This window comes from Homo sapiens, chromosome 4, assembly GCF_000001405.40.
Source record: "Homo sapiens chromosome 4, GRCh38.p14 Primary Assembly".
Taxonomy (NCBI): domain Eukaryota; kingdom Metazoa; phylum Chordata; class Mammalia; order Primates; family Hominidae; genus Homo; species Homo sapiens.
In genome coordinates this window covers 1691364-1712795 of record NC_000004.12, presented here as the reverse complement: position 1 = coordinate 1712795, position 21432 = coordinate 1691364, and the positions used below count along the sequence as shown (strand labels likewise).

Sequence of the window (21432 nt, the reverse complement as noted above, 5' to 3'; positions counted from 1 at the left end):
CACCTGGGCAGGAACCAAGCAGAGCCGCGCTCCACCCAGGCCGGAACCAATGGGAGATGCGCCACGACCCAGGCCGAGAAACGTGCCGCTTACCCTTCCCCCACGACCTGCGCCGCGTCGCGCGCGGCCGAATCTCCCGCCAAAGCTGCCCCCGCCCGCCAAGGCGCGACCTATCAGCGTCGCAGAGGCCCGCGGCGGCCCGGCCGCCTCAATCCCGCGGGTGGGGGCAACCTTTTCCTCAGGCCTCTCCTCAGCCCACGGCGTCCATCTGGCTCCCGAGCCGAGGGCCGGGCAGTCGGGCTTCGCGGCTGCCCGCGGTCCCGAGGCCTCGCCCTAGCCCCAGTCGGCTCGCGAGGCGCGCACAGCTGAGTGGACCCCTGCGGCGTGGCCCGATGGTCTCGCCCGACCCGGCGCGCGCGGGAGGCCGAGGGGCGGGGCCCGGCGCCCACATAAAGGCGGTTGGGGGCGGGGCGCGCAGAGCTCGTGAGCGCCGGCGCGGGGACGCGGGTTTCTGCCTCAGGCCCTGCCCTGCTCTACTCTGCGCTCTCTGCCCGCGCCGCCGCCGCCTCAGCCTCGGCCCTGCGCTGCGCGCCCGGCCCGTGCTGCCATGGCCTGCCGCCCGCGAAGCCCGCCGAGGCATCAGAGCCGCTGCGACGGTGACGCCAGGTGAGGCCGGGCTGCGCGGCGGGCGAGGGAGCGCGTGCCCCGTGGGGCGGGGGTTGTGCGGGGCCGGGGTGTGGGAGGGCGGAGGTTGTAAGGCGGTCCCGAACCTCCCGTGCCCAGCCGACCGCGTCCCTCCCCGCAGCCCGCCGTCCCCCGCGCGATGGAGCCTGGGACGGAAGCGCAGAGCCGACGGCAGGCGCTGGAGGCCCGAAGACGCCGAGGAGGCAGAGCACCGCGGCGCCGAGCGCAGACCCGAGAGGTGGGCGCGGGACCCGGGGGTCGGGGCGCGGTGGGGCCCTTGACGAGGCCGCGGGCTCCAGGGACCTCGTCGCGCTCTCGCGGTGCCGGGATCGGTCAGGTCGGCACCCTGCGTCCTTTTATCTTGGTCTCCGCGCGGCCCGTGGACTGGGGCGGCCGCAGCAGGCCTGGGAGGCGCTGGAACACTCCGGAAGCCTCTTGCCAGGATGGGAGTCAGCTGAACCGGCGTCAGCCCGAGTTAGCCAGTTCGAGTCTGTGTTGTGCTCCCGGGAGAGGTCAGGGTCTCTGACGAGCTTCTCGTGAACACGTGGAAGTCAGGGACACCCGAGTCCCGAGGAGAAGTGAGTTGACAGGGCTTACCTGCTTGGCCATTTTCTGGGTTAGGCAGTGTGCAGGGAGGGTGGAGATGCGAGCGAAAGGAGGGCTTGATGGGGTGGGACGGCCGAGGAGGGTCTGGAGGAAATAAGCAGGGGTGCCAGTGGTCGTAGTGGCGGGGCTTTTCGGGGCTGTGGTTAGAGAAAACTTCTCGAGGGGCTTTGGGGTGGCTCGTCCCGCACTGGGGGCTTGTTGCTCCTGAGTTCCCTGAAAGGCGTGGTGACTTGGCCGAGATGGAGCAGTGAAGGTGGAGGGAAATGCGTGGTTCGGGATAGGCTTCTGAAGGCAGGACCTGTGAGACTTGCTGATGGGTTGGGGATGGGAGGCGTGAAAGGAAAAAAAAAAATCGGACCCAACTTCACTGTGCCAAAAGGAAAAAATTATGCTGAGCGCGGAATCATGCAAGAAACTACCTTTGCGTTACTTTTTTTTTTTTTTTTTTTTTTTTAAAGACAGGGTCTCACTCTGTCTCACAGGCTGGAGTGCGGTGACGCGATCTTGGCTCACTGCAGCCTCCCCCTCCCGGGTTCAAGTGATTCTCCTGCCTCAGCCTCCCCAGCAGCTAGGATTACAGGCGCATGCCACCGCGCCCGGCTAACTTTTTGTATTTGTAGTAGAGACAGGGTTTCACCATGTTGACCAGACTGGTGTCGAACTCCTGACCTCAAGTGATCCACCCACCTTGGCCACCCAAAGTGCTGGGATTACAGGTGTGAGCCACCGCGCCCGGCCACCTTTGTGTTTCTTTTTTTTTTTCTAAGCAGATACCTACAGATACAAGATTAAATATCTCCACGGGTGAACTCTGTTCACTTTAAGTGGCGACTTACTGAGCACACTAGGAATACATAATTGACTATTCCCCTACCTGCTCCTTTTCTCTTGGAACATGTAGATCTTTCTCCTTCAACCTACTTTTCTCTTTTAAATATTGAAGCCCTGACAGTCATCTCTGGAGAAAGGCACAGACCACAGACTCTTTCTGTAATTTCGTGTTCTTCTAGGTATGTCCTTAACATTAGCTAAATTCCTAAAGCAATTGAGACCTGTCTCAGACACTTTTTGGTTTACACAGGAAAGAGGCATCAAGAATGACTCAAGCCTTTAGGTCTGAACGCTGTTGATTGGGGCCATTTGCTAAGATAGAGAAGATGGGCTGGAGCAGCTAGGCATGGGAAGTTGTGAGGCTTGAGAAGCTGCTTAGAGAAGCAAAGGAGATGTCAAGAAAGGTAACGGAGTGTAGGAGTCTACATGGGAGGCATCTTCAGGCACAGTGAGTTACCAGGACATAGAGATGATATTTAGAGACTTGGGTCTAGGGGGCTGGGCGCAGTGGCTCCTGCCTGTAATCCCAGCACTTTGGGAGGCCAAGGCGGGCCCATCACCTGAGGTCAGGAGTTCGACACCAGCCTGACTAACATGGAGAAACCCCATTGTTGGGGACCAGCCTCGACACTTACCCGGAATGAGAAGAGACAGGTTAAGAGCTCATAAAGGTGGGAGCCAGGGGACCAGTTGGAAAATGGAGGCTGCAAAAGGCCCGGAGTTGCGGTCTCCACACTATTTATTGAGTACAATCACTTTAAGAAGTAGGCCGGGCGCGGTGGCTCATGCCTGTAATCCCAGCGCCTTGGCAAAAGGCGGGTGGATCACGAGGTCAGGAGATGGAGACCATCCTGGCTAACACGGTGAAAACCCGTCTCTACTAAAAATACAAAAAATTAGCCGGGCGTGGTAGCGGGCGCCTGTAGTCCCAGCTACTCAGGAGGCTGAGGCAGGAGAATGGTGTGAACCCGGGAGGCGGAGCTTGCGATGAGCCGAGATCGCCCCACTACACTCCAGCTGGGGCAATAGAGCGAGACTCCGTCTCAAAAAAAAAAAAAAAAGAAGTAGATGTTCAGGGTGAAACAGTGAAAGGGAGGCAGGCGTCATAGGCGTAATTATAGCGGTTTCAATGAATCTCCTTTGTGCTCAAACAGCATATCTAACTTATTGGAGAGTAGCTAGTGGGAGCGGGCTTAACTAGGAGCCTGCAAATCTGTCCACATTCCAGTGCTTTAAAGGAATGTCTTTCTTCTTGAACACTGTTTACAGATAAGAGAGCAGGTCTCGCTCTGAGCATGGGAACATGATGGCAATTAGGAGGCTTTCCTCCTCAGAGGCCTCTTGTGGCTTTTCACAACTTACTGTGCCATATTTTTATGGCCAGCTTATACAGGCACTCGATAAGCCTTTTTCCCAACACCCCATCTCTACTAAAAATACAAAATTAGTCGGGCATGGTGGCGCATGCCTGTAATCCCAGCTACTCGGGAGGTTGAGGCAGGAGAATCCCTTGAACCCAGGAGGTGGAGGTTGCGGTGAGCCGAGATCACGCCATTGCCTTCCAGCCTGGGCAATAAGAGTGAAACTGTCTCAAAAAAAAAAAAAAGACAAAAGACTTGGGTCTACGGGTGGGTACAGAAGAGGCCCTAGGTCCAGATATGAAGGGAAGGTAAACAAACCTTATTGAGATCAAGCTCTGAACTCTCCAGTGGTCTCATTTAGCTGAAGATAAAAATATTAAATCCTTACAGTGCTTTAGAAGTTATGGAAGTTTTTGGTGTCCTCATTCCTCAAACTATAGGAATGCTTCTGTCCTAGGGCCTTTGCACTTGGTATTTGCACATTGTGGATAATGCCTGGAGGCACCTGACAAATAGAGCCAGCTCGTTGATGGATAAGATCTAGAAGTACTCTTTGGAAGGTTGTTAGCTTAGTGTGTAAAATTAGGCTTTGTTGTCCCAAGATAGGGTAGATTATGAATATAACCTACTTAATCTAAGAAATGGACTTAAAGATACCAAAATATGGCATGTAGTATATGGTCATTCACATACACAGGCTTTAAATTATTCTTGTAGTTCAGGAATTTGTTATGTTGGCAGACCCAGACTTGAACCTCTTGATACACTAGTGAGGATGCTTGTATCCAATCCTGGACAAACCTCTATTGAGTCAATTTAATTTTCAGTTAATTACCTAATTTGATTTCATAACTTTCTACCATTTTTAGAATCTGGAAATTTACTTTTAGAAATCCAATTTAAGTTTATCTGAGTTGTGTGACTGTAAGGGAAGAAATGATAATTACATAAGAGGATTATTCATTTGTTACTGCAATTGCATTTTCAAAGCACAGCATTTGGTTTACAGCTAAAATAGGTTGCTTATTTGTTGTAATTAAAGTTAGTATCTAGTGTATTTTTTTGTGACGGGGCATAACTGTCAACCAGGCTGGAGTTCAGTGGTGTGATCTCACCTCACTGTAACCTCTGCCTTCCAAGTTCAAGCAGTTCTCCTGCTTCAGCCTCCAAGTAGCTGGGACTACAGGCATGCGCCACCACGCCCGCCTGATTTTTTTTTTTTTTTTTTCGTTTTTGAGATAGAGTCTTGCTCTGTCGCCCAGGCTGGAGTGCAGTGGCGCGATCTCAGCTCACTGCAACCTCTGCCTCCCGGGTTCAAGCAATTCTCCTGCCTCAGCCTCCTGAGTAGCTGAGATTACAGGTGCGCACCACCACGCCTGGCTAATTTTTGTATTTTTAGTAGAGACTAGATTTCACCATGTTTGTCAGGCTAGTCTCGAACTCCTGACTTAGTGATCAGCCTGCTTTAGCCTCCCAAAGTGCTGGGATTACAGGTGTGAGCCACTATGCCTATCCTAATTTTTGTATTTTTAGTAGAGGCAGGGTTTCATCATGTTGGCCAGGCTGGTCTCAAACTCCCGATCTTGTGATCCGCCCGCCTCAGCCTTCTAAAGTGCTGGGGTCACAGGCATGAGCCTGTGCACCCGGCCCAGTATCTAGTTTTAATGTCAGTAGTGATCAACAGAAAAATGGGGTAGAAAAATAAAAATGTGAGTTTATGTCTGATGTATAAATAAGATACATCAATTTGAACTGCCAGAATTTGGGGCTCGAAGCCTTAAGCTTTTGGATTTCCTGATTATTATTTTTTAAATTTTAATTATTATTTTTTTTAGATGGAATCTCGTTCTGTTGCCCAGGCTGGAGTGCAACCTCCACCTCCCAGGTTCAAGTGATTCTCCTGCCTTAGCCTCCCGAGTAGCTGGGATTATAGGCACCCACCACCACACCCAGCTGATTTTTGTATTTTTAGTAGAGACAGCGTTTCACCATGTTAGCCAGGCTGGTCTTGAACTCTTTTTTTTTTTTTTTTTTTTTTTTTTTTTTTTTTTTTTTTTTTTTTTTTTTTTTTTTTTTTTTTTTTTTTTTGAGACGGAGTCTCGCTCTGTCGCCCAGGCCGGACTGCGGACTGCAGTGGCGCAATCTCGGCTCACTGCAAGCTCCGCTTCCCGGGTTCACGCCATTCTCCTGCCTCAGCCTCCCCAGTAGCTGGGACTACAGGCGCCCGCCACCGCGCCCGGCTAATTTTTTGTATTTTTAGTAGAGACGGGGTTTCACCTTGTTAGCCAGGATGGTCTCGATCTCCTGACCTCATGATCCACCCGCCTCGGCCTCCCAAAGTGCTGGGATTACAGGCGTGAGCCACTGCGCCCGGCCTGGTCTTGAACTCTTGACCTCAGGTGATCTACCTACCTCGGCCTCCCAAAGTGCTGGGATTACAGGTGTGAGCCACCACGCCCGGACTATTATTTATTTATTCATTTATTTTTTGAGACGGGGTCTCTCTCCCCCAGGCTGGAGTGCAGTGCACGATCTCGGCTCACTGCAACTCCGCCTGGTGGATCACTGCAACTTCCACCTCCTGGGTCCAAGGGATTCTCCTGCCTCAGCCTCCCTAGTAGCTGGGATTACAGACACGCGCTGCCACGCCTAGCCAAGTTTTTGTATTTTGGTAGACGCTGGGTTTCACCATGTTGCCCTGGCTGGTCTGGAACTCCTGAGCCCAGGCAGTCTGCCAGCCTCAGCCTCCCGAGGTGCTAGGATTACAGGAGTGAGCCACTGCCTGGCCATAAATTTCCCAATATTGACTGAAGACTATCTTGAACTTGAGATGGAACTGAGCTCCTGGATGTGGTTTAACTCAAGCACAGGGGGTACTTTGCCAGTAGACGGAGTCCTGACACAGCAAGGACTCTGACATATACTCCTCCATACACATTGTAATCATAGTGTACATAACATTCTGAATTATTAATTACATGCGCCCGAAAGGTAAATGGATATGCTAGCTATTCTGTATTTTATTTATTTTCTGAGACGGAGTCTCTTGCTGAGGCTGGAGGAGCAGTGGTGCAATTTCGGCTCACTGCAACCTCCGTCTCTGGGGTTCAAGCAGTTCTCCTGCCTCAGCCTCCCTAGTAGCTGGGGCCTACTGGTGCGCACCACTGCACCTGGCTAATTTTTGTATTTTTATTAGAGATGGGGTTTCGCCATGTTAGCCAGGCTGGTCTCAAACTCCTTACCTTGGGTCATCCACCCGCCTCGGCGTCCCCAAAGTGCTGGGATTACAAGTATGAGCCACTGTCCTCTGCCACCATATATATTTTTTTGAGATATGGTCTTGCCCTGTTGCCCAGACTGGAGTGCAGTGCCAGGATCATGGCTCACACAGCCTTGACCTCCTGGGCTAGAGTGATCCTCCTGCCTGGGCCTCCTGTGTAGCTGGGACTACAGGCACGCCCCACCATGCTTGGGTATTTATTTATTTTGGAGATGACGTTCCAACCTTTTTATTAAAATCAACTTCTCACAATGTATAAATACTGCATATTAGCACACATGAAAAAGACAACTTCTAAGGCACCCAGAAATACATTCATACACGTTACAGGACCATTTGCAGAGTGGACAATTTGCTGTAGACAGTCAGCATTGGATAAATCAGAAGATTATCATCCCTCAGTACTGTACCCAGTCTCAGTAAATATTTACAACATGGTGAGAAGGTGTCAGCTGTACCTGCTTTATAATTCTATGAAGTACTCAGACTTACAGATAATTCAGAACTAAAGACAGTCCCATGATAATCTGACAAAATAAAACAAGTAGTCTAAAGTCTTAGTGATTTTGGTGTGTGCTACATCCATGATCAAATCCAAACACTCCTGGGGTGGGCTGGATAAGTTTTTGGTAGCCTGCTTCATTATCAGAAGTTTGTTAATAAGCCTTGCCAATAGAATACCATTTCTTCAGCATCAGTCATTTCTCAACTGGTTAATGGATCAGTAATCTCATCATGAATGAGAATGGAGAGAGAACAGAAGACAATTCTTCTCACACTTAACAGGAATTAGGATGGGTCAGTGCAGTCTGGGTACGGTGGCTCACAGCTATAATCCCAGTACTTTGGGAGGCCGAGGCAGGTGGATCACCTGAGGTCAGGAGTTCGAGACCAGCCTGGCCAACATGGAGAAACTCAGCCTGTATTAAAAATACAAAATTAGCTGGACGTGGTGGCTCATGCCTGTAATTTCAGCTACTCGGGAGGCTGAGGCAGGAGAATCGCTTGAACCTGGGAGGCAGAGGTTGCAGTGAGCTGAGATCATGCCATTGCACTGCAGTCTTGGCAACAAGAGTGAGACTCCGTCTCAAAAAGAAAAAAAAAAAAGAATGGGTCAGTGCAGAACAGGAGGAGGCAGACATTTGGCAAGTACAGGATCATACTGTTTAGTATAGACATGTCTGGAAAATTCTTACCCTGGAGGTTCATATTCAGATGGAGGAGTCTACACTGGCCAGATAACCTGGAGGAATGCCAGACCTGCACTTTTATTATATGGATACAGGCTTGGGACTACACAGCGGAAACACCCACCTGAGATAGCCTCAATTAGAGACTTACCTTGCAGAGCCTTCTCAGTATGACAGCGAATCCCTCTGTATGGCCAGCCAGGGGAAGCACGAGGTTGCTGGAAGTGAGTAGTTGCTCTGCACCGTCAAGCATGCACACATCTGTCTAGATGTGCCCGCGATCTGTGAAACTCGGGCTTTGTTAGAATAATGGAATTCTTTGGTGGTCGGTTTTATGAAAGGCAATATTGTCACAATCCTGTCAACATTGACATTGGTAATGACTTCAAGCTGGGACTAATGGCATAGAGACAAATTAAATACAAGATGGGAAACTCTACACTCTCTGAACTTCTTAGAGTCAACTTCATAAGCTCCAGCATCAGGCCGGATGTTGGATCAATGAGATAAGGTTAACCCATAGAAATGCCAGAACTGAAGCTGAAAACTAGATATGGGTTTTTCTGACTGCCACACACACTGCAAAAATTTGAAGCAAATCTCCCATCTTAATGACTTTATAAACACATACCAGAGATGAACGAAATAAGTTGATTTCAGCCATATGATAGCCCTGGACTACTGAAGTGTGGACACCCAAAAGGAATCATAATTTAGTTTGAAGTCTAAAATCTAGTTGGTTTTATTAGACCCCCAAACACAGTGGGCACACTGCCAAGGAGCTCCATGACTTCTGCTCTAGTAAGACAGCCCTGGATAGACAGATGCAGCTGATAGGTTATGTTCTACATCTAGTTTGCTTTTGTCCTGCTAAACTCCAGTTTAGTATGGTTTGATACACATAGTTCACTGATATAATGCTTTTATTTTTTTGGGTGGGGGACAGAGATGAGGTCTCACTATCTTGCCCATGCTGGTCTTGAACTCCTGGGTTCAAGTGATCCTCCTACCTCAGTTTCCAAAGTGCTGGTATTACAGGCACAAGCCACTGTGTCCCACCAGCCTTTGAATATTTCTTGACATACAGTTTGAAAGAAAACAAAGTATGTGTCATGGTTCAGTAGCATTTTCCTTTTATTGCAGCTTTACCACTCCTGAAGGCCCTAAACCCCGTTCCAGATGCTCTGACTGGGCAAGTGCAGTTGAAGAAGATGAAATGAGGACCAGAGTTAACAAAGAAATGGCAAGGTACACATTTTGGACCACCTTGAAGTGTTAATCTGTGGCGTTTTCAGTAACACATTAAATTTGATATTTGTCTTAGAACAGTGGTTTTCAAAGGTCTGGGCTCCAGACCAAAGGCATCAACATTTCCTGGGAACTTGTTAGAAATACAGATTCTCAGACCCTTCCCTGGGCCTGCGAATGGGGTGGGGCCTGGCCATCCTGTGAAAAGCCCTCCAGGCGGGTCCACTCTTTCAAGCTTGAAGACCACTGTCCTCTTGGTGGTAATCCTTCCAAGAGTGGAAGTAGGTGCACAATGGTGTTACTGCTGGATTGCAGGCTGGAGGACTATCAGAACTAACTTTCTTTTTTTTTTTTTTTTTTTGAGACAGTCTCGCTCTGTTGCCCGGGCTGGAGTACAGTGACAAGATCTCGGCTCACTGCAACCTCTGCCTCCCGGGTTCAAGCGATTCTCTTGCCTCAGCCTCCTGAGTAGCTGAGATTACAGGCACAGGCCACCACGCCTGGCTAATTTTTGTATTTTTTGTAGAGATGGGGTTTCACTATGTTTGTCAGGCTGGTCTTGAACTCCTGATCCGCCCACCTCGGCCTCCCAAAGTGCTGGGATTACAGGCATGAGTCACTGTGCCCGGCCTAACTATCAGGAACTTACTATAGTCATTTGTTACCACCGACCTTCTGTGTGCGGTGCTCACACAACCCAGCACAGTAGATGGAGTGCTCTCTCCAGATGAAGGAATACATTGACACTTGGCTTAGGCAACAAACAGCTCAGAAATGCCAACATACAAGGAAAGGTCTCAAACTTGGATTCTGTGAACCTCTTGCAGTTGCACACAAGATTGTTGTGTGTATCCAAGTTCTTGCAAACTAAGCTACTTCGTCTTCGTTGACTCATTACCTAATGCATCCTTAACCATGTTTAATCTCCCTTGATTATCAGTGTGTTGATCCTTTCTCTTTTGATGAGTTGTCTAACTCAAACCCAGTTGCAAGGACTGGGTTTATTCAAACCCAGTTAAAATGTGGCTCATAATTGGTTGAAGTATTTTACAAGATAATTTTAGCCAACAAGTGGCTGATAAACAGGGTCTCAAGAAAAATGTGTCTTGCGTGTCAGCCGCGGAACGATACCTAGACTACCTGTTTTCATTTTGGCAGCCAGTGATGGTATTTATATCAGCCTCCTTTGAAAAGGGACGGGAATATGTGGGAATTGGTTATTGAACATTTGGGGGAGTTATTTGTCATTTCTTCTGGTATCAAAATGTGTGGGTGGATGTATGCCTTGGTAGAAGAAATGAACTAGGAGTTCACAGATGAGAGTACCAGTGTTTTTAGTGAATTATTGCATTTATATAGGTCTTGACTTCCTCAATTATAAAATTAGAATGTTTGACTTGACTTGTATAGTTTGTGTTGCATGCACAAGTCTTAGAACAGTTCTTGCATACCGATAGCCTAGTTGCTCCCTCAAGTCACCCCTTGCCAGGGGTTATCTGCAGCTCTTATTCATGCGTATTCCACCTGTCCAGATTGTCCTGTGAGTGGACCCTATTTGTTCTTCAGATATCTCATGGGTCTGTGCCTGAAAATTGTCCTGTTTTGGAAAACAGCACTGTTTGGGCTGCTCTGTTGATTATACCCTTTGTGATGGAAAGCTACGGCTTTTATTTACTTACTTATTTTTTTGAGATGGAGTCTTGCTCTGTTTCCCAGGCTGGAGTGTAATGATGCAATCTCAGCTCACTGCAACTTCCGCTTCCTAGGTTCAAGCGATTCTCCTGCCTCAGCCTCTCGAGTAGCTGGGATTATAGCTGTGTGCCACCACGTCCGGCTAATTTTTGTATTTTTAGTAGAGGCTAGGTTTCACCATATTGGCCAGGCTGGTCTTGAACTCCTGACCTCAGGTGATTTGCCCGCCTCGGCCTCCCAAAGTGTTGGGATTATAGGCGTGATCCACCTTGCCTGGCCAAAGCTGCAGCTTTTAGTGCAACCTGTGTAATTTAAACTGCTGGCCCTTTAGTGAGCCATTACTGACAGGCCGGCTTACTTCCTGACAGTAAGAGCGGTATGAAATGTCAGCTTACTATGCTTTAAGGAGACTAACAGACTACAAACTAGCAATATAAGAGTATGAAAATGGATTTTCTGCATGGCATGGTGGCTCACACCTGTAATCGCAGTACTTTGGGAGGCCAAGGCGGGCGGATCACCTGAGATCAGGAGTTCGAGACCAGCCTGACGAACATGGAGAAACCCCGTCTCTACTAAAAATACTAAAAATTAGCCAGGCGTGGTGGCAGCAACCTGTAATCTCAGCTACTCAGGAGGCTGAGGCAGGAGAATCGCTTGGACCCGGGAGGCGGAGGTTGCACTGAGCCGAGATCTCGCCATTGCACTCCAGTCTGGGCAACAAGAGGGAACTCCGTCTCAAAAAAAAAAAAAAAAAGAAAAAAAAGAAAATGGATTTTCATCATACCTGAAAACCAGTCTTTCTCATCTGTGGTACTGGAGAGAATGAGGCCCTGCAGCAAATGATTTGCAGGACTAATCTCTGAATCGTACAAAGATGGTGTTATATAGCCAGTGCTACTCTAGATGCACGGGAGATAAATTACTTCATTACCTTCTGGCGTCCAAACTGCACTGAACACCTCAGCAAACTTGGGTGGATTTTAGATTTTGAGAGGAGGCACAGTAATACATGACATAATTTAGATACCTGCATGACAGGCCAGGGGTGGTGGCTCACTCCTGATCTCAGTACTTTTGAGAGGCTGAGGCGGGAGGATTGCTTGAGCTCAGGAGTTCAAGAGCAGCCTGGGCAACACAGACCTCCATGTCTCCAAAAAAAGAAAAAAATTTTTTTGGAGATGGTTGTGGCGGCACTTGCCTGGAGTCCTAGCTGCTTGGGAGGCTGAGGTGAGATGATTGCTTCAGCCCAGGAATATGAGGCTGTGGTAAGCCATGATCGTGCTACTGTACTCTAGCCTGGGTGACAGAGTGAGACCCCATCTCAAAAAAAAAAAGATACTCACATGAACTTGGAGCTCAAGGTAGCTCGTGGTTTCAACGTCAGATTGCGCTAGACTCCTTTTGGAGATGTCATACTTTTTTTTTTGCAAAACTGCGTTCTGGTAATGACTGCAATAGAAAGCAGATGCCTCAGGAAGTTCATGAGGAACAAGAGAAAAGGGGGCACGTTTGGTCTCCAGGATTGGAGAAGGTATGCAGTGCCCAGTAGGCATATGAGTCCCATTAGTAAGTTTGGTGTTTTTAAAATAATTTATTTCAATTTATGTTTTGTTTTTCTTTTTTTAAGGCTGCCAAGTTTTAGGGAATGTAAATTTTTGTTGTGTGGATCTCACTACTTAAACTGAACCTGACAAAGATTTCTTTTGGCCCACGGAGCTTCTGGATTGCATAGGATGGTGTGCCTGCGGGCATCAGGGTGGAGCTTCCTCAGACCTGGCTGCTTTATTTTTATATCTTTTTTAAAAACAGCAATATTTATTTTGCCCTCAGATATAAAAGGAAACTCCTCATCAATGACTTTGGAAGAGAGAGAAAATCATCATCAGGAAGGTAAAGGCTGTGTAAATGTTTCTTTTCTAATTTGATAGACCTGTAATTTGTTAAAAAAAAAAAATTGTGACTGTCAGAAATGCTGACTGTCGCAGTAGCATTTATTAATACCTTTTTCACTAATTTGAAATACTGTATCTGTTGTGTACTAAATTCCCATACATGCAGTCTCCGGACTATTTAGGATTCATATGGTTGGGAATCTGGAGTGAATCTTCCATTATTGTGTTTTGACATTTTCTTGGCTTACCTTACATACATGGTGATCTTAATTGCAGGGCTTATTCTGTTAATCTGTTGTTTTTTCAGTTCTGATTCAAAGGAGTCTATGTCTACTGTGCCGGCTGACTTTGAGACAGATGAAAGTGTCCTAATGAGGAGACAGAAGCAGATCAACTATGGGAAGAACACAATTGCCTACGATCGTTATATTAAAGAAGTCCCAAGGTAGTCTTGTTTCAGTGGCATGTCTTGAACAAGCTGTGTGGCATTGCGTTTCTAAAGAGTTGCTTAGATTGGGTAGTACAAATGATGCTGGGGATAGTTCACACCTGCTAAGAGCTATTTAATAGGGACTTACTGGGGCTTATGACGTAAATAAAGAATGGATTGGCAACTGGAAAACTAAAGACATGAAGATTTTAAAAATCATTTTCATATAATTTTGAATGTTAGATAACATTTTATTTCTTAGGAGTCAGCAATCATAGATGTAAGCTTATTAAAATACATGATGGGGAAAAATGAAGTTCAAGTTAAATATTGTAAAATTCTAATTGGAGAAAAAAAAATTGGCATTGCCCTATTGTCTTTAAGCAGCATGTTCTTGCCTATCCTGGTCCCTCAAACACACAGACACAGAAGGATATAAAGAAAGCTTTAGTGTTTTCCTGAACTTTTTGGCAGGATTGGGGTTGAAATTTACATTTCTGGGCCAGGTGCAATGGCTCATGCTTGTAATTCCAGCACTTTGGGAGGCCGAGAGGACTGCTTGAGGCCAGGAGACTAGCCTGGGCAATATAAGGAGACCTCATCTCTACAAAAAATTTAAAAATTAGCCAGGTGTGGTGGTTTGCACCTGTAGTCCCAGCTACTTGGGAGACAGGTGGGAGAACTGCTTCAGCCCAGGAATTCAACGTTACAGTGAACCATTAATCACACCACTGCACTCCAGCCTGGGCTGCAGAGTATGAGACTTTGTCTCTTAAAAAAAAAAATTTTACTTTTGGCTGAGTGCAGTGGCTCATGCCTGTAATCCCAGCACTTTGGGAGGCCGAGGAGTGCGGATCATGAGGTCAGGAGATCGAGACCACCCTGGCTAACACGGTGGAACCCCGTCTCTACTAAAAATACAAGAAATTTGCTGGGCGTGGTGGCACACATTTGTAGTCCCAGCTACTCGGGAGGCTGAGGCAGGAGAATCACTTGAACCTGGGAGGAGGAGGTTGCAGTGAGCCGAGATTGCACCACTGCACTCCAGCCTGGGTCACAGAGCAAGACTCCATCTCAAAAAAAACAATTTTTTTTTTTTTTTTTTACTTTTTTGGAACATAGCTGGCAAAGGAATAGTAAGATTCAATGTGATGGTGCTTTTTTTTTTCCCTCCTGACCGAGTCTTGCTGTTACCTAGGCTGAAGTGCAGTGTTATATCATGTCTCACTGTGTATTCATTTTTTTGAGACGGAATCTTGCTCTGTTGCCCAGGCTGGAGTGCAGTGGCGCAATTTCAACTCCACCTCTCGGGTTCAAGCGATTCTCCTGCCTCAGCCTCCACAGGCGCCTGCCACCACACTTGGTTAATTTTCGTATTTTCAGTAGAGATGGGGTTTTACCATATTGGCCAGGCTGGTCTCGCACTGCTGATCTCGTGATCCGTCTGTCTCTGCCTCCCACAGTGCTGGGATTACAGGGGTGAGCCACCACGCCCAACCATCATGGCTCACTGTAGTCTTAACTCCTGGCCTCAAGCAATCCTCCTACCTCAACCTCCTGAGTAGCTGGGACCAGCGGTGCATGCCGCCACACCTGGCTAAACTTTTAAATTTTTATAGAGATGGGAGTCTCCCTATGTCGCCCAGGCTGGTCTTGAACTCCTGGCCTCAAGTAGTCCTCCCAAAGTACTGTGATTACAAGCGTGAGCCACTGTGCCCAGCGGATAGTGATTTTTTTGAGACCGAGTTTCACTCTAGTCCAGGCTGGAGTACAATGGTGCAATCTTGGCTCACCGCAACCTCCGCCTCCCAGGTTCAAGCGATTCTCCTGCCTCAGCCTCCCAAGTAGCTGGAATTACAGGCATGCGCCACCATGCCTGGGCTAATTTTTTTGTATTTTTAGTACAGATGGTGTTTCTCCATGTTGGTCAGGCTGGTCTCGAACTCCTGACTTTGGGTGATCTGCCTGCCTCGGCCTCCCAAAGTGCTGGGATTACAGGTGTGAGCCACCGCACCCGGCCCGGATAGTGCTTTTTAATTTTTTAATTTTTTTAAACATATTTGTTCATTTTGTAGGATCTCAGTTGATTTTTTATTTATTTATTTATTTTTGAGACGGAGTCTCCCTCTGTCACCAGGCTGGAGTGCAGTGGCACGATTTTGGCTCACTGCAACCTCCGCCTCATGGGTTCAAGTGATTCTCCTGCCTCAGCCTCCCGAGTAGCTGGGATTACAGGTGTCTACCACCACGCCTGGCTAGTTTTTTGTATTTTTAGTGGAGACAGGGTTTCACCCTGTTGGCCAGGCTGGTCTTGAACTTCTGATCTCAGGTGATCTGCCTGCCTCAGCCTCCCAAAGTGCTGGGATTACAGCGTGAACCACTGTGCCCGGCTTTTTTTTTTTTTTTTTTTTTTTTTTTTTAAGGTGGAGTCTTGCTCTGTTGACCAGACTGGAGTTGCAGTGGCATGATCTAGGCTCATTGCAACCATCGCCTCCCAGGTTCAAGCAATTCTTCTGCCTCAGCCGCTGGAGTAGCTGGGACTCAAGGCATAAGCCACCATGACTGGCTAATTTTTGGTATTTTTAGTAGAGATGAGGTTTCATCATGTTGGCCAGCCTGATCTCAGGCTCTTGAGTTCAAGTGATTTGCCACACCCAGCAGCGTTTGTTTTTTTTTTTTTTGGAGGTGAAGTCTCGCTGTGTTGCCCATGCTGGAGTGCAGTGGCACGATCTCGGCTCACTGCAAGCTCTGCCTCCCGGGTTCAGGCGATCCTCCTCCCTCAGCCCCCTAATAGCTAGGATTACAGGCACAGGCCACCACGCCCGGCTAATTTTTGCATTTTTAGTAGAGACGGGGTTTCACCATGTTGGCCAAGCTGGTCTCGAACTGCTGACCTCAGGTGATCCACCCACCTTGGCCTCCCAAAATGCTAGGATTATAGGTGTGAGCCACCGCTCCCAGCCCCTAGCTGTTTTTTTGTTCTGTTTTGTTGTTTTTTTTAAATAGAGACGAGGTCTCACTGTGTTGCCCAGGCCATTTTTAAATTCCTGAGCTTAAGTGATCTTGGCATGACCTCCCAAAATGCTAGGATTACAGGCATGAGCCACCATGCCTGGTGATCTGTAATATTTAAAATAATACTAATCTCATAGTTTGGTTAATCTTCAGGCTAATGTGGAAATGTGAGTGGCATGTGGGCATGTGCTAGAATAATCTTTCTCCTGTAGACACCTTCGACAACCTGGCATTCATCCCAAGACCCCTAATAAATTTAAGAAGTATAGTCGACGTTCATGGGACCAGCAAATCAAACTCTGGAAGGTGGCTCTGCATTTTTGGGATCCTCCAGCGGAAGAAGGATGTGATTTGCAAGAAATGTATGTCTTTATTGCATTCTTGTCCTGTGATTCTCTGATTGGTCCAGTGACTGGAGCAGCTGCGCACCACTGGGACAGGAGGTCTGGTGCCAAGTCCCCCAGCAGCTGTTGGGGAGCAGAGCAGCTGCTGCAGCTCGGTGCTGAGTTCTTCTGTACTGGGAGGGAGGCAGCTGGAAGGAAGAGTTTGCTTCCTGGATTGAATTTATTTTTTCAAGCAAAGTCAATCTGGGAATACAGTTTTTGTTTGTTGTTTTGCTGTTTTTGTTGTTGTAGTTGTTTTTCCCCTAAAAATTACAATAATCTCTGGAATTTGTTTTTTAAATATAAATATCCTAAAAAGTATTTGAGTCATTTCGGCTCAACCATGAAAATAAAAGTTCTTAATTAAGGAAGGAAGGCTTTCTTTCTCTGTTGGCTTTTTTTTTTTGGGAGATGCTCTGTCACCGAGGCTGGAGTGCAGTGGCGTGATCCCGGCTCACTGCAACCTTCACCTTCTGGGTTCAGGTGGTTCTCCTGCCTCAGCCTCCTGAGTAGCTGGGATTACAGGCACGCGCCACCACGCCCAGCTATTTTTTGTATTTTTAGTGGAGACGGGGTTTCACCATGTAATTCCTGACCTTGTGATCTACCCGCCTCAGCCTCCCAAAGTGCTGGGATTACAGGGGTGAGCCACTGCTCCCAGCCCCGTTGGCCTTTAAACTTGTGCCTAGTTGAAATGTCTCAGGCCTGAACTTTTGCTGCATCATGGCAATACCTGCTGACCAGGAAGGTAGAGAGAATGATCGTGTACCTCCCTCCCTCTATGTGGGGTTTCTTCTCAGCTCCCCTCTGGTCCTGAGCCTCTCGCTTCCTCAGACACATTCTTTAAACAAACAATTAGAGTTTCTCCTCTGTGCTGGGAAATTTTTTAGAGACTGGCATGTTTGAAACGATTGTAAGTGGCTTTACCAGTTTGTCCTGACAGATGTCATTTGGGTTTTTTCCCCCAGTGTGACACCATTGTCCCATTCTCTGAGTAGAAACTTGGAAAAATTAGTGATAATGCATAGTATGTTCATCACAGTGCTCATTTCTCCCCCTCAAAAATTGGGCTTATGAGTGTTTCTGTTTCCAAGGATGCTTGTGTGGTGAGCCCAGCAGATCTTTTTGTTGCTTCTCATTGCCATCCGCTTTCTCTTTGCTGGATTGATTGGGCTGGGATTAAGTCTGTCAAATAGTCACTGAAAGCTGACCCCTCAGGGAGCCTCGGGCACACTGTCAGTGTTGTGGCTGTACCATATGGATGGGGTTTGTCTGTAGCGCCCCGTCTCCTGGCTTTGTTAAGTTAGTGCCTGACGCACATGTTGGATCTTGTTTAACAGACACCCTGTAGACCTTGAATCTGCAGAAAGCAGCTCCGAGCCCCAGACCAGCTCTCAGGATGACTTTGTAAGTACTTTGGATAAGTCTTTCAGCTTGGGGGTTGCAGGTGAATTGTTAATAACACATGCTGCCTTATAAACTGAAGTTTGGACTGGGCACGGTGGCTCACGCCTGTAATCCCAGCACCTTGGGAGGCCAAGGCAGGCGGATCACCTGAAGTCAGGAATTCAAGACTAGCCTGGCCAACATGGTGAAACCCTGTTTCTACAAAAATACAAATAATAGCCAGGTATGATGGTGGGTGCCTGTAGTCCGTGCTACTCAGGAGGCTGAGGTGGGAGAATAGCTTGAACCCAGGAGGTGGAGGTTGCAGTGAGCTGAGATGGCGCCATTGCACTCCAGCCTGGGCAACAGAGCAAGACTCTGTCTCAAAAAAAAAAAAAGAAAGAAAACCATGTGCTGCGCGTGGTGGCTCACGCCTGTGATCCCAGCACTTTGGGAGGCTGAGGCAGGCAGATCACCTGAAGTCAGGAGTTCAAGACCAGCCTGCCCAACATAGTGAAACCCAGTCTCTACTAAAAATACAAAAACTAGCTGGGTGTGGTCATGCAGGCATGTAATCCCAGCTACTCAGGAGGCTGAGGCAGGAGAATCACTTGAACCCGGGAGGCAGAGGTGGCAATGAGCCGAAATTGTACCACTGCCCTCCACCCTGTGTGACAGAGTGAGACTCTGTCTCAAGAGAAAAGAAAACCGTTTTTAAATGTATCAGTTTAAATACTGTCTCCTGTCCTGAGACAGCCACTATTTGTGGTTTTGTCTAGGCTTTTACAATTCTTTCTGTGCTTATAAACTATGTACATGGCCAGGCACAGTGACTAGTGACTCCTTCCTGTAATCCCAGCACAATGGGATGTGTGCACATCTAAACGTCAGTGTCTTGTAAATGGTACATGTGGTTTCTCTTTGCAGTGTTATTATTAAAATCTGTCTCAGTTGCACGTGAAGTGTACACCTTGCTGTGCATTACATCACATGATTTACCACATAAGGAGTGGGGTGTAGGAAGGGGCCCCTGTTTTCAGGGTGAGATGAATGTCAACCGAGCCATGCTTCTGTTTTCCAGGATGTGTACTCTGGCACACCCACCAAGGTGAGACACATGGACAGTCAAGTGGAGGATGAGTTTGATTTGGAAGCTTGTTTAACTGAACCCTTGAGAGACTTCTCAGCCATGAGCTAACTGCCCCCTGGCGGCCAGGAAGAGAAACAGCTCCTCCCCGACTAGGTGGAAGGCTGGCCAGGCACCAAGCATGTGTGTGCACTTGTACCTGGTGGTTTCTCTGTTAGCAGTCCATTAGCTCATGCTGAATTATTTTTGCCTTACTTTCTTAAGAAACATTAATTTTATGTATAGTGAGTATATTTTGCATGTTTTAAATTGTAAATGGAGCTAAGTCCAAGAAAGTACTTGAAGCTCTCTTCCAGCGAGCTTAATTGCGTAATCCCTGTTGTCCTCCAGGGTAAGCTGACACGTCTACATAACTGGTTTTCCACAGGCATCTTCAGTTATTGCTTGTCAGGTGGACTGTTTTGGATTTAACCATGTAATCCATGGGACCAATTGAGAGTCAGCTACTTTTATAGGCATCAAAGTATTCTCAGACACCTTTAATATCTTTATGGAAACTTAATTTTTGGCCTTTTATCAATATGTCATAACAGCATTCTGAAGTCAGACATTGTTAAATTGAGCTATTAAACTAATGAGTTTTATGTAAGTTATATGGTCTTAATTTGGTACTTGTAAATAGCACTAGTTAGACTCTTTAGAATACTCCAAGAGTTAGGGCAGCAGAGTGGAGCGATTTAGAAAGAACATTTTAAAACAATCAGTTAATTTACCATGTAAAATTGCTGTAAATGATAATGTGTACAGATTTTCTGTTCAAATATTCAATTGTAAACTTCTTGTTAAGACTGTTACGTTTCTATTGCTTTTGTATGGGATATTGCAAAAATAAAAAGGAAAGAACCCTCTTTCACTGACTGGGGCTGTTGCCAGGTGGGCCAGCTGCCGTGAGAGCTGACATGTTTGGAGGGTCAGAATTGTGTCTGCCTTTCTTGTGTCTGAAGCAAGTGGCACTCAGTGAGTGGCGCTGGGTAAAGGGCCTTCTTTATTTTTTTAATTTTATTTTTTGAGAGTTTCGCTCTTGTTGCCCAGGCTGGAGTGCAATGGTGCAATCATGGCCCACTACAACCTCTGTCTCCCGGGTTCAAGCGATTCTTCTGCCTCAGCCTCCCAAGTAGCTGAAATTACAGGTATGTGCCACCACACGCAGCTAATTTTGTATTTTTAGTAGAGACAGGATTTCTCCATGCTGGTCAGGCTGGTCTCGATCTCCCGACCTCAAGTGATCTGCCTGCCTCGGCCTCCCAACGTGCTGGGATTACAGGTTTGAGCCACTGCGTGTGGCCGGGGGCCTTCTTTAATAGGTGTCACATGTCACATTTGGTCTGATGCTTATTCATCAGCACTGGCATGACAGCCTTCCCTGTCTCTTGGGAGAGACCCTGCAGCAGGATAATCATCAGTCTGAGGGTGCCCTGCTCCCACTGCCTTCACCCTTGGACCGTGGTTGCTGCCTGCAGACGTGACCACTAGTCCACGCCACAGCGACCTGTCCCGGAGATCCCTCCAAGTGATGCTGGGCTGGTCTTAAGCCAGGGATGGGCTCAGGTAACTTTGTTCTAGGAGCTTGAAGAGGGCAGAAGCTCTTGTTTACTTAGCTTGTTTATGGAGACCTCAAGCAGTGTCAGGTGGAGGGTGGTAGACACTGGGGTTGTAGCACATGCCCTGGTGAGGAGACCCAGCTCTTTCAGGGTGGTAGGAGGTGCCTGATAAAAGGTGACATCTGGGGAGGGCAGCAAGCAGAGGCCACGAAGTGGGAGCACTCAGCATTGACTTCAAGAGTCCTAAAATGTGGGAGGAGTTCTGGGGGCCTGACTGCAAGCCTCAGTCTTGAGAAGGCAGAGGTGAAGGTCCTTGTTAGATGGTGACAGTTCAGTGGTGCTGTGGCCTCCATCATGACTGACGGAGAGCAGCTCTCCTGGGTTTGTCACTAAGGAGCTACTTCCCCTAAACTGTGAGCAGGTCCTTAGCGATGAGCAGCACTCAGTGCTCTTAGGCTAAAATTCAGTGGCTTCCAAGCAAAAATGACATCCAGAAGACAGCTGGAAAGGTGATCTAAGCTAAAGCTGAGGGTGTGGCATGAAATCCTCTGTTAACCATAGAAAGTTGAACCTTTCTCTCTCTTTTCACTGGAGTGCAGTGGTGTGCCTTCAGCTCACTGCAACCTCCACCTCCTTTGGCTCAAGCAATTCTCCTGCCTGTCTCCTGAGTAGCTGGGATTACAGGCGTGAACCACCACACCTGGCCAATTGTTGTAGTTTTAGTAGAGTTGGGGTTTCGCCAT

General features: G+C 47.6%; 1 protein-coding gene across 3 annotated transcripts, besides 3 other annotated features; it reads left to right on the top strand.

The window, feature by feature from the left end:
- Positions 61-970: a silencer, noted in NCBI's record as "silent region_15139". NCBI's record gives its function as "represses an Ori minimal core promoter by ATAC-STARR-seq in GM12878 lymphoblastoid cells {active_cell/tissue: GM12878}" and the evidence as "EXISTENCE:reporter gene assay evidence [ECO:0000049][PMID:35858748]".
- SLBP (stem-loop histone mRNA binding protein) lies at positions 477-20065 on the top strand. Of its 3 annotated transcripts, NM_006527.4 has the most exons (8): positions 477-666; positions 806-922; positions 9096-9200; positions 12726-12785; positions 13095-13232; positions 16445-16594; positions 17956-18022; positions 19083-20065. In NM_006527.4, the coding sequence occupies exons 1-8, from the start codon at positions 608-610 to the stop codon at positions 19197-19199; spliced, it is 813 nt and encodes a 270-aa protein (NP_006518.1). In that variant the 5' UTR covers positions 477-607; the 3' UTR covers positions 19200-20065. The 3 variants fall into 3 exon arrangements, with proteins under 3 accessions (NP_006518.1, NP_001293004.1, NP_001293003.1); NM_001306075.2 differs by lacking the exon at positions 806-922; NM_001306074.2 differs by lacking the exon at positions 9096-9200.
- Positions 981-1100: a silencer, noted in NCBI's record as "silent region_15138". NCBI's record gives its function as "represses an Ori minimal core promoter by ATAC-STARR-seq in GM12878 lymphoblastoid cells {active_cell/tissue: GM12878}" and the evidence as "EXISTENCE:reporter gene assay evidence [ECO:0000049][PMID:35858748]".
- Positions 6041-6541: an enhancer, noted in NCBI's record as "H3K4me1 hESC enhancer chr4:1707982-1708482 (GRCh37/hg19 assembly coordinates)". NCBI's record gives its function as "activates a minimal SCP1, AML or CMV promoter by ChIP-STARR-seq in primed H9 embryonic stem cells {active_cell/tissue: H9 hESC(primed)}" and the evidence as "EXISTENCE:reporter gene assay evidence [ECO:0000049][PMID:30033119]".
- Positions 20066-21432: the final 1367 nt, after the last annotated feature.